General features: G+C 41.0%; 2 pseudogenes; one reads left to right on the forward strand and one right to left on the reverse strand.

The window, feature by feature from the left end:
* Positions 1–2927: 2927 nt before the first annotated feature.
* On the reverse strand, positions 2928–4382 carry GXYLT1P4 (GXYLT1 pseudogene 4; annotated as a pseudogene).
* Positions 5824–6964, forward strand: LOC392334 (calponin 2 pseudogene; annotated as a pseudogene).
* Positions 6965–12401: the final 5437 nt, after the last annotated feature.

Genomic DNA, 12401 nt, shown 5'->3' on the forward strand with positions numbered 1-12401 from the left:
AAGCTTTCTGTCTATGTTGTGCTTTCTCATGCAGGAATATCAGACATTAATGAACCAGTAAAGAAGATACTGAGGTGCAGAAGAGCTTTCCCAGTGTCCCGGGAGCCATTCTACACAGCATCCTACAGAATGACTGTGGATCTGCTGTGCTTAGTTTCTTTACTTGTGAAAACAGAGTAATAGCAGCACCTACCTCACAGGGTTGTTCTGAAGATTAGAGGGGTTCTTTCATGGGAAGCTCTAGAGCAGTGCTTGAGACATGGTAAGTGCTCAACATGTGTTCATTATTATTATCATTATCAATATTTGATGTAAAAGCCTTTCTGAAAGAAATCACACAAGAACATGATCAGTTAAAAGATATATATGAATGAAAGTATGTTTGGCGCTGTCACAACACAGAGTGACATAATGGTTAGGAACATAGGCTTTGGAAGTCAACCATCTGTGCTCAAAGCCTAGTGTCACCACACAGCCATTGTGGGACACTGGGCCTCAGATTTCTAGCCTGAAAAATGGGGGAACAATGTCTGTCATATAAAGTTGCTGTAAAGATCAAACTGGATAAGAAATGTAAAATACTCAACAGTGCCTGACACAAAATAAACACCAATTAATGGTAGCAGGAAGAAAAGAGCACTCTTCACCAACATTTTACCTTCAGAAATTGGTTAAGAAGAAATGAGTGCTTAGGAACCTTCCTGTTAGAGCTGGGAACACAAATAACCCCAAGATATGACCCAACTGAGAAAAGAGATACGAGAGTCAGCAGGTCTCAGGACTCGAGAACATATCATAGATCTGGGGCCAAGGGGACCTCCCAATACCTCAGTCTTGAATTAGCCAGATGTGCCTTTCAGTCCTTGGCTGAGCTGGACTGAGGCCTCCTCCAAAGGGAGAAATAAATGCGCATCCTGAAGAGAGCTGACTCTGAAAGAGAGAGAAACCCACAGAGGCTGAGTTTCACCAGTACAGCTACTTTCAAGCACATTCCTCAGTTAAGTCATTTCTCTTCCCAAGGGGAGGACTGAATGAGCTTATGGTGAGAGGCCAAAAGCTTTTCTCCTTTGTTTTTCCCTCATGGGAGAGGACGGAAGTGCTATCCTTTCTGTGGGAACCTGCAGACTATGGACGTTTCCCCCAGCAGTTGGCATTGACTGATTTATCTGCATGTTTCTCTGTTCACATCCTCTATATGAAGAATCGAAGTGGGAATAGCCCCCAAGTAATCTGATAGTACCAAAGCACTATTCTAGTTTTGTATAATTTTTAAGTCTCTTCTTTAAATTTTTTTTTGCAGACTCCATCCCAGACACAGCATACCAGAGTCTCCAAAGGGCTAAGCTCAGCAATCTGTTCTCAAGCTCCCAACAGGAGTCTTATATAGTCAGGCAGGCAATGATCATATATGGGGACCATTAGAAATAATCTAATGCATACCCTCTGAACTTCAAATTTTTAGTATTCTCATTTTCTGCTCAAGCTCAATTTCAACACAGTTCACAGTTTCTCATATCCACCATGGCATTCTGCCAAGGAACTACAACTCGTGTTCTCTAAACCCATCTGTTCTAAGAATGCTGGGCTGGTTATCAATTTCTAATGTACCTGCTTAAACTTTCCTCTCTCAATATGTCCCTGACTGAACTGCAGAAGACAGAACAACTGTACTAGCCATCTCTTTCTGCATATCCCATGTCCCCACAGAGGCCACTGTGTCTTCATAAAGCTAACTGCCACGATTTTCACAAGTGATATTTTTCCTTCATGATTTTCCATTTTCTACTTGGGCATTAAAATACCAGGGAGAAAAGGAAGATAATCGTTTAGCAGCTGGGAAAATAAGATATGTGCCCCAGCACAGTACATGCTAAGTATTCAGAATGTATAGTTATAGTAGATAACTATAAATTAGATAACTATTAAAATAGTTATATTAGATAAGCAATATTTTTCTCATCTTCAAGACTTAAAAAGTTAACTGTTTTAAGTGGTATTCAAAAAAGGAAGGTACTCACTCACATCAACCCTATTGAAACCACATTTCTATAGCTGGATGTAACAATCTTAATCCAAATCATTCACCAAAGTTGTTTAACTTTCTTAAAGTAAGGCTCTAGACATTTGCTTCTTTACAAGTATCTTGCAAAGCCATTATGAGGTAGAAGAAATGTTTAAATGCGCCACATTTTCCTACTGCATTGTAACTAAAATTACTACTCACAGGACGTGTATAGCTTCTGCATTTTGGTCCATCACATTTTCCGCCATCAAATGAGTGTATTCTTAAGGTTCTCACTTTATCATCAGCATAACATATTTTGCTTCCAGAATGCCCAGTAAGGCTGAAATTTTTCATTTAAAGTGATAAAAAAGTTCCCCAAATATCTACTTAACAATCTTAGATCTGAGTTTTAGCAAGACAGTTTAATGCATACACAATGAAAACACTATATTTCTCACTCTCTCTCACATGCACAGATTAAAACCCCAAAGTTTTCACTATATTTCCTCTTTCTTATACAGCTCAATTTTTAACATGCAGCTTCCTTATAATCTAAAAACAATTTTAAATATGATTATCATAAAAATATTTTAAAACAGAGATGAAATGTGTAAAGGCAGATATAGATCATCCATGGTTACATTGGTTACATCACATTTCTTTAGAAACAGAACTGTTTCTACTCCTGTAGACAAACTTCTCTCTCACACATTTAAAGTGAGGTTAGTGCTGACATAAAATTATCGCTCTACTCACCATCTGAGTGTTTGCACTGTGTTTGAGGTACATTTTCTTCATTTTCACAGCCCCACCACTCTTGAGAGTATGAGTCAACAGAAGTTTGCAGGCTAAAACCATTCAATAATATTTTCATCAATACTGGAATGATAGTAAGTAACATTACACAACATCAGAGGCCAAAAATTTTTCTTTGTTGAAGCCCAAGATTTTAACTTATTCTTCATTACCTGAAAATACTGCTCATTTAACCTCTTCAGGAAAAAAAAAATTCTGTAGATGAATAATTCCTGCCTTAATGCTTCACCCAAGACAGTTCCTTCATACTTATCCTCCAATGCTTTGTTCTTTTCATCCATTTGATGTAGCAGGCAACAAGAATCACCTTTCCTTTGGTGATCTGACATAGCGATCTCTTATGTTTTTGCTAATTGTTTGATAAATATTTAGTAAATTTTTCCACGATATGTATGCACTATTTTTTGTAGTTCCAATTCTAAAGGTTTTATTAATGAATGAACATTGTCATCTTAAAAGAACAATTTCTCAGTGCTTCATAAACAGCTCTAAATGCTGGTTGCTTATCATCATGGTAAACACCTCTGTTCCCGTGAAAAATAAAGATTCCTTCTTCTGCTTCTTGGCAACTGCTTCCATATAGACAGTGATCTGGACGACACTTCCATTGACACGGAAAGACAAAAAGGCTTTCTGGATTATGAAAAAACAGGATATCCAACAGATCTTGATCGCCCATGTAATGTTTAACTTGTATATTTTAAGCCATGTCATAAGTATATCTCCTCATTGTAGTCACACAGTTGTCATATTATTCTTGAAATACTTCCTTCTCATTCAAGTCATGTTTGTCAACATAACTCCAGAGTTTACTCCAGCTTTTCCACACTATGGATGCCTAGCACAGCGACTATACCATCCTATTTGACATTCCTTGTGTTCTGGGGCCATTGCAGAATTTGTGTGGAATTAAATTTCTTTAGTAAAGACCAAATATTATCAGCTGGTCTTTTAAAAAGGCTATCAGTGTGAGAGTCAACTTCTTTCAGGAATAACGGCAAGGACAATCTCTGCAAACCACATGGTTTAAAGAGTTTTTCCACTCTGCTGCATTCTCACTTGGAAAGGTTATGGAGTATATTGTATAATTAAATATTTGTAGAAATGACCCCTGTCAAGCCTTCCTTTAAAGCTATGATGTAGTTGATCTTCAGCAAAAATCTGGAATTGAAGAGGTTTGATCCTGAAAATAATAGCTGACTTCAACATGGTCATAGTTTCTTCCAGTCTTTCACCTAGATACATTTTCTCAACAGGCTGTATTTTCAGACTACACCTGTCCCACCTGCGGGGATGAGCAGCGGGACAAGCGCTGCTCGCGCCTCTCACCGCACCGCATCCGCCTCCCGCCAGCCAGGAAGCCACTGCGGCCTGCGGCTTCCCGCCACCACGGCCCGCTCCTTCCTCCGGGGACACGGGGAGCTGGCTGAAGGCGTAAAGGAGCGAGCAGAAGCCTCAGGCCAGACACAGAGCCACCACGCGCGGTAGCGCCGCATGGCCCCAGCGGCGTTCCTCGGTCTCCGTCTCCGCCGCGCCCGCCTGACGAACTGGAGCACAGGGACCATAGTTCTGGAAATTTATCCTTTTTCTCTCCATGGATTCAGCAGCAGCGTCTAAAAGAAAAAAAATCATCAATCAATCATTTATATATGTTTTAATATAAAGATATAAAACAGTGGAACCAGTGGAACTGGATAGAAAGTAATTCAGTTTTACAGAACACATCTGTTTTTCAGGCTCTTACTTTTCTTAAACATAAAAGAGCCATATATATTTCTATGGAATTCCCCTTTTACTTAAGAATTCATTATCAGCGAATTAGTGTAACGAGGCTGTTTTGTTAGAGGCTGTGGTTGCATTCAAAAATTAGAATAGGAACAACGACTTGTAAAAATTCAACACTTTATTTTATTTTTGAGACAGTTTCACTGTGTTGTCCAGGCTGGAGTGCAGTGGCTTGATCTCAGCTCACTGCAACCTCCCCCTCCAGGGTTCAAGCCATTCTCCTGCCTCAGCCTCCCGAGTAGCTGGGATTACAGATTTGTGCCACCATACCTGGCTAATTTTTGTATTTTTAGTAGAGAAGGGGTTTCACCATGTTGGCCAGGCTGGTCTTGAACTGCCAACCTCAGGCGATCCTCCCCCCTCAGCCTCCCAAAGTGCTGGGAGTACAGGCGTGATTTAACATTTTAACATTTTAAACTACCACTTACTACATTCACTGTGTCTGTGATTTAATATACCTTTTTCAGTGGCCACAAAATTATAAAATGGATACAGAATAGTCTCTTCAAAACATTAAGGAAGTTCTTTCTTTTTTCTTTTTCTTTTTCTTTTTTTTTTTTTTTGGTTTGAGACGGAGTCTTGCTCTGTCGCCCAGGCTAGAGTGCAGTGGCACAATCTTGGCTCACTGCAACCTCCGCCTCCCGGGTTTAAGGAATTCTCTTCTTCAGCCTCCCGAGTAGCTGGGATTACAGGCGCCCGCCACCACGCCCAGCTAATTTTTTTGTATTTTTAGTAGAGACGAAGTTTCACCATCTTGGCCAGACTGGTCTTGAATTCCTGACCTCATGATCAGCCCGCCTCGGCCTCCCAAAGTGCTGGGATTACAGGCGTGAGCCACAGCGCCCCGCCGCAAGTTCTTTCTTCTTGAAAGGATTATAAATATAATTCATACTGGCATGACACTTTTACTAATATAGATTGACTTTTCGCTTCAAATAACCCATTCGTATATCGAAATTAATTTTGGTCAGTATGTGTGTGTGTGGATGTATGTGTGTGTGGATGTGTGGATGTATGTGTGTGTGGATGTGTGGATGTAAATGGCAGTAAAGGGTAAAAGGGAAGGTGGAAAAAAGGGAGATGGTCTAACATTTTCCACACATTTTTAAATACACAAAATGTATATTTAACACAATACACATACAATAAAATATGTAGTAAAACAATGGTGTGGTGAAAACAAAACATTGCGAACTAGAAAAAAGACTTAGCCGCTGGTCCTGTCGGATCCGCCCCGCGGCGGCGCCCTCCAGCCATAAGCTCCACGCAGTTCAACAAGGGCCCCTCCTACAGGCTCTTGGCGGACGTCCAGAACAGGCTTCTGCCCAAATATGACTCCCAGAAGGAGGCAGAGCTCCGCAGCTGGATCAAGGGATTCACTGGCCTCTCCATCCGCCCCGACTTCCAGAAGGGCCTGAAGGACGGGATTATTTTATGCACACTCGTGAACAAACTGCAGCCGGGCTCAGTCCCCAAGATCAACGGCTTCCGTGTAGAACTGGCACTAGCTAGAAAACCTCTCCAACTTCCTCAAGGCAATGGTCAGCTACGGCATGATCCCGTGGACCTATTTGAGGCCAACGACCTGTTTGAGAGTGGGAACAATATGCAGGTGCGGGTGTCTCTTCTCGCCCTGGCAGGGAAGGCCAAGACTAAGGGGCTGCGGAGCGGGGTGGACATCCGTGACAAGTACTCAGAGAAGCAGAACTTCGACGACACCACCATGAAGGCCAGCCAGTGCGTCATCCGGCTGCAGATTACCAACAAATGTGCCAGCCAGTCAGGCATGACCGCATATGGCACGAGGAGGCATCTCTACGACCCCAAGAACCGCATCCTGCCCCCCATGGACAATTCGACCATCAGCCTCCAGATGGGTACAAACAAGTGCGCCAGCCAGGTGGGCATGACGGCTCCCGGGACCCAGCGGCACATCTATGACACCAAGTTGGGAATCGACAAGTGTGAGAACTCCTCCATGTCCCTGAAGATGGGCTACACGCAGGTTGCCAATCACAGCGGCCAGGTCTTTGGCCTAGGCCGGCAAATATACGAACCCAAGTACTAGCCAGGTGGCCCAGTGGCCCACGGGGCTCCCTCCGCCGGCAACTGCCCAGGGCCAGGGGAGGCCCCTTACTACCAGGAGGAGACCGGCTACTGAGGCTCCCAGCACGCTCTCTCCACACATGGTCTCCCCGTCTGGGTGTTGGGTTTTTCTGTGTTTTCATCTTTTTTTTTTTTAACCTGTTCAGTGCTGCCAGTCAACCGAGGGTCTGTGAGTGGCAGCGTGGGATCAGGCAGCAGGGTTTTTTCCCCACCTCCCCTTGCTTTGGTTCCTTGGCAGGACTGAGACACCGGGCTGTGGGGGAAGGGATCAAGGCCGTATCCTGATGCGTGTAGGGTGAAGGTCCCCGCTGGCACTTCCAGGCTGTGGGCTGAGCTGTGCTGGGGAGAAGAGACCTGGGCATGGAGGGAACCAGTCCCCGAAGGTTTCTGGTTGCCTCTCCTCTTCCCCTTTTTGTCAGCCGATCAGTTTGTGGTTTCTGTACCTGCAAAAGTTTCAGGAAGTATTAACAAAAGAAAGAAAATTTTTTTCTTCTCCGAGGAATGGGGCGGAGACAGTGGAGAGGGTGCTGGGAAATGAGTCCCCTGGGAGAGGGGGCCCAGCCATGATGCTAAAATATCTCAGGCTCCTGAGTGGCTGGATTTCCCTAGGACCCTCAGACCGACAGACCTCAGACCCTCAGACCTATGCTGGGGCCCGGTGAGGAAACTGAGACCCGTACAAGTTAGTGGAATTCTGAGTTGCCAGGATTAAGTCTGACCCCTCTCCATCCTAGCTCCCCCACCCCCGTGGCCCTCAGTAGGGTTTTTTGTTTGTTTTTGTTTTTGTTTTTTTTGAGATGCAGTCTCACTCTGTCGCCCAGGCTGAAGCACAGTGGAGTAATCTCGCCTCACTGCACCTCAGCCTCCCAGCTTAAGCGATTCTCCTGCCTCAGCCTCCAGAGTAGCTGAGACTACAGGCGCCCACCACCACGCCTACCTAATTTTTTGTATTTTTAGTAGAGACGGGATTTCACCATGTTGGCCAGGCTGGTCGGGAACTCTTTCCCTCATGTGATCCGCCTGTTTCGTCCTCCCAAAGTGTTGGGATGACAGGCGAGAGCCACCGCGCCCAGGCCCTCAGTAGGTCTTAAGGAGCCCCGGCCCTCCTTCTCCCCTTCCGGGCCTGACCAGGTCTACTGCTCTATCTCTCCCGGCTCCAGGCCACGCCAAGTACTGCACAGAGCCCTCCACCCAGGCGCCCTGCGCTATGAGATAATGTGAAATACCGACTGTGGACCAAACGCAATAAAACCTCTGTTTTTTAAGAAGAAAATGAAAAGACTTAAAACTGGCATTTTAAGACTTTATTATGTATTATTAATTATATATTAAATATAAATGTTATACACTTTAGCGCCTCTATCTCCCAGTCTCTGGTTAGGAGCTTAACTTTCCTAAGCCTCAATTAGTAAACACTTATGGCCTAGCCACGTTGACCCGCCTCTCTCCTAACATCATCCAGTACATTTCGGAAGCGCATGCAAAACTCTCCCACCTTCTGTTTCAACAGATATGTCAACTGATACAATTATACAATAATTGTATAAGATAATATTAGATTTAATCTCACAATCACACTCAGCTTGATTACTAACCCTTCTCTTACATCTTGCTCACCTAAATTTATCTACATTTTCTGTGAACTGAAATAGCTTAGAAATGTATGCCATCTGTGTATTATAGTGTAAGTTATTGTAATATAGAAATATGGACTTTCTTTAACTCCCATTTGCTGCCTAGGAAATACCAATATTTTTTGAGCATGGCAAGTGTTTCCAAGCATTCAGAAGTGGAGAGTGTAGGAAATCCACTGCAGAATGAGGTCTGCTTGTCATCCTCTCAGTCTCAACTGCTCTCCCTCCTTCATCTCTCTCTGTTTCATTGATGAGTATAGAAGATCAGGCATTTTTATATGAAGTGAAAATTGATGGAACTAAGGTGTTGATTTGAATATCCAACCGACCATTTACTGAGTGTCCATTACAAGTTAAATTGTGTTGTAGAGAACAGCTCAGGAAACGAATGCTTGACATTGATGTACATAACAAAAATACAAACATACCATTAAAAAATCAGACCTCTTATGACAATCCAGATTCTCATGTAAGTTTTGTGAAGCTCTTTCAAGATGAGAATGTAAAATTTCAAAAAAAAAATCATTTTAACAAGTCATTCTTGAGATAGAAAAGTGGAATTAGAAGATCATATATGGTTGTTTCACTAGCTCAAATCTTATGTACAGTTTTTAGTCAATTGACAGCCATATGATTCTTATTTTATATGCTGTTATTCATTAGAAACTACAAATTTTAAAAAATATTCCTGTCTCATTCTATGAATCAATCTAAAAATTTCATTCATTTGGTTATATTTCTTCATTTTACCTGGCCTTGAATACTTCTTTCCCGCCCAGCATTAAATTTAATTAATGTCTAATTTGTTTACTTGGTTTAGTTACTTTTGGCCATGTTCAGTACACTTCTTATGAAGCAGGCATGTAGGAATGTTGACAAGTTTATGGTCCTCACTTTTCCAAATCCCAAATGGTGGCACCCCAACAGACACATACCACAGTGTAAACACATACACACACACACAATCCACACCCACCCATACTCACCCACCTACACACAGACACACACACACACACACACTCCAGTGGATCAACACATAAAACACTCCACAGGCAAAGACATTATCCATCAGGGATCTCTTAGTGCACTACACACTTCTGTAAATTATCAGGACTCCTCAATTGAGGTGAGTCTACAGAGATTTCAAAGGCTATTTGAGTGCTAAGCTATCTAACTAGTGGTTGGACACTATTTAAATAATGTGTTAAACACAACTCTTGAGGCTCTGAAGAATTTCTATGCTTTCCAATGAACCAGGAGTTACAAGGTCCTGAAAACCACAAGTGTGTTACATCCTTTAATAGATAAAGCAAAGCTGATATTAATGTGAATATACTTTATATTTACTTATATTCGTGTTAATTTTTCTTTGCCTGTAATACATATTTTTATATAATGGGGAATAAGAAACATCTTAGGAAAAAGAAAACAAAAAATAAAATTTCACTGTTTACACTGTGCCTTGGTCCAGTAACCCTGCACTGCACATATACACTTTAAATTGGTGTCTTGGGGAACCACCTCGGTATTTCATTTTAATAGCGCATCCTGGAGAATATATTTGAGTGGATCACATATTACAACTGATTTAAATTTTGACCCATATAGAAATGTTTTCAAAAATATGTCTGAAGCCTGGATACTGTAAAAATGTTTATCATCATAGAATAATAAAAGGCTAGCCATTAGTTACTCAGAAATTGTTCAGTAAATCTAAGATGACTTAGACATAAATAGTTATGAGTGAATATAGTTCATCATTAATGTTTGTAAAAATTAATGCTGTCTTTTATGGTTGAGAAAAACTAGAAATGTAACTTAATTTGATAGAGATAAATGACATAAACTTTACATAAAGCAAGAGAATAATAGATGTGTAAAAATGTTTTGTAGATAAGATTTTAAGATGAAATTGTGCTGAACGACATGAATCAAATGTGTTTTGCATACTACATCTGCAGCTACAACATCACAGCCTTTTAAGTATTTCGTTAACTTCAAAATGTAACTTATTGCTGAAACAATCTGATTTAATGAATTGGGATAACGGGTAATGATTGGTGTCAGCTGAAAGCAATGCTACAATTTTAAAGTTAGATTTCTTTGTGTATTAATACAAACACCAGAGAAGATGGTCAATAAAGTAATTACTGTACAATGCCTATCATAATACTTAAACCTGGAAGAAAATCAGAAAATGTTAAGTGAATAGAATTGGTGAATTGTTTCCATTTTATACAATTTTTTGTTCATTTTAGGGCTTACCAAAACTTGCAGCTCTGAATAAGGCCCAATTATTTACTCCTTCAAATAAAACAAGACTGCAAGAATAAGAGTGAATGCTTTGTTTTGTTTTGTTTTTCACTGAAATATTCCAGTCTGTAGCAGCTCCAAATCACACTGATCTTTCTAGAGTCTGATACAGGTCCTGGTCTCAAGGCCAGTGTTACCATAATCACCATCTTTTGTGCTTCAAGGTTGAGCCCTCCTAATTTACCTGCATGAAATTGGAAAAGTCCTGTTTCATACTTTAAGCAACCTAGATGTCTCTTTCACTAAAAGTGGTATTCTTCTTGTGTGTTTTTTTTTTTTTTTTTTGCAGCAAATGATGTCAACTTCTACCTACACCTGACATCTCAATTAATTTTTGACATTTTCTTCTTCACATTTCCATTTCAAATCACCAAGTATTGTCAGATTTTACCTTCTCTCTATTTCTTGAATGAATTTTTCTCTTTCTATCTTCATTGCCATCATGGATTCCAGCCCATCACTCTCTCACCTGGGCTATGGTGCACACCTCTAAAGTGCTCTCCCTGATTCTCTCTCCAAAAATGGTTCTGTGCTATATCTGGAATGATTACTTGAAATGTAAATACAATTTGCATTGTAAATTGCTTTGCTTAAAAACTCCCAAAGACTTCACATTAGTACTAGGATAAATAGCAAGAGTCCAAAAATGGGTTCAAGCAGTACAAAATTTGTTTCCTTTCTCTTTCCCCCCTCTTGTGGCATGAACATTGTTGAACTAAATGATTCAGATGTATTTCTTCTTGTCTCCTGGACTTTGGTCTTCTTACTCATATGCTTTTCCCACTACCATCCCAGATTTATATAATTAGCTCTTACTGGGTTTTTTTGTTTGTTTTTTTTGAGATGGAGTCTTGCTCTGTTGCCCAGGCTGGAGTGCAGTGGTGTGATCTCAGCTCACTACAAGCTCCACCTCCCAGGTTCATGCCATTCTCCTGCCTTAGCCTCCAGAGTAGCTGGGACTACAGGCGCCTGCCACCTCACCTGGCTAATTTTTTTTTTTTTTTTTTGTATTTTTAGTAGAGACAGGGTTTCACAGTGTTAGCCAGGATGGTCTCGATCTCCTGACCTCGTGATTCACCTGCCTCAGCCTCCCAAAGTGCTGGGATTACAGGTGTAAGCCACCACACCCAGCCAGCTCTTACTCTTATTTTAGTTTGCTCTTCATCTTCCCCACCAAGGGAAACCTTACCTGATATCCCTAAATATGAAAGGCTTTCATAACAGTGCATAGCTTTTCTCTGTTATTTATAATATTGTTTTTAGGTTTTTATATTTTTATTACTATTTATAATAGATACATCTGAGCATGCTCTTTGATAATAAGTCTAATAAAGTTTTGATGCATTTAGTAATTCAGTACAAAATTGTTTTCTATAAGCCATGATTCTAGAGATTGAGGGGAAAGTGCAGTGGTAATCTGTCCCAAATGGAAGGACAAATAGCCAAGCAATGTTGACCTACCCATTCATCTCTCAAAAACAGAGTTAAGATATTGATTCTCCTGTTTTCAGGATGAAGCAGGGACAGGGAGTTTCTTGTTATCCTCTCAACTCACTCTTTTTATGGAAAAAGTAATTAATCTGATAAATGACACAAAAGATTTTGATGTTCATTAACAAGGTGGTGATTCCAAGAAGTTGAAATAAAAAGACTTCAGAGCCCGTCTCTCTCAATCACTATCTTTGGTCTCTTGAGGATGCTTGTGCACAAAATAGGGAGCACCCATGTAAGAGCTGCATAGG

This window comes from Homo sapiens, chromosome 9, assembly GCF_000001405.40.
Source record: "Homo sapiens chromosome 9, GRCh38.p14 Primary Assembly".
Classification (NCBI taxonomy): Eukaryota; Metazoa; Chordata; class Mammalia; order Primates; family Hominidae; genus Homo; species Homo sapiens.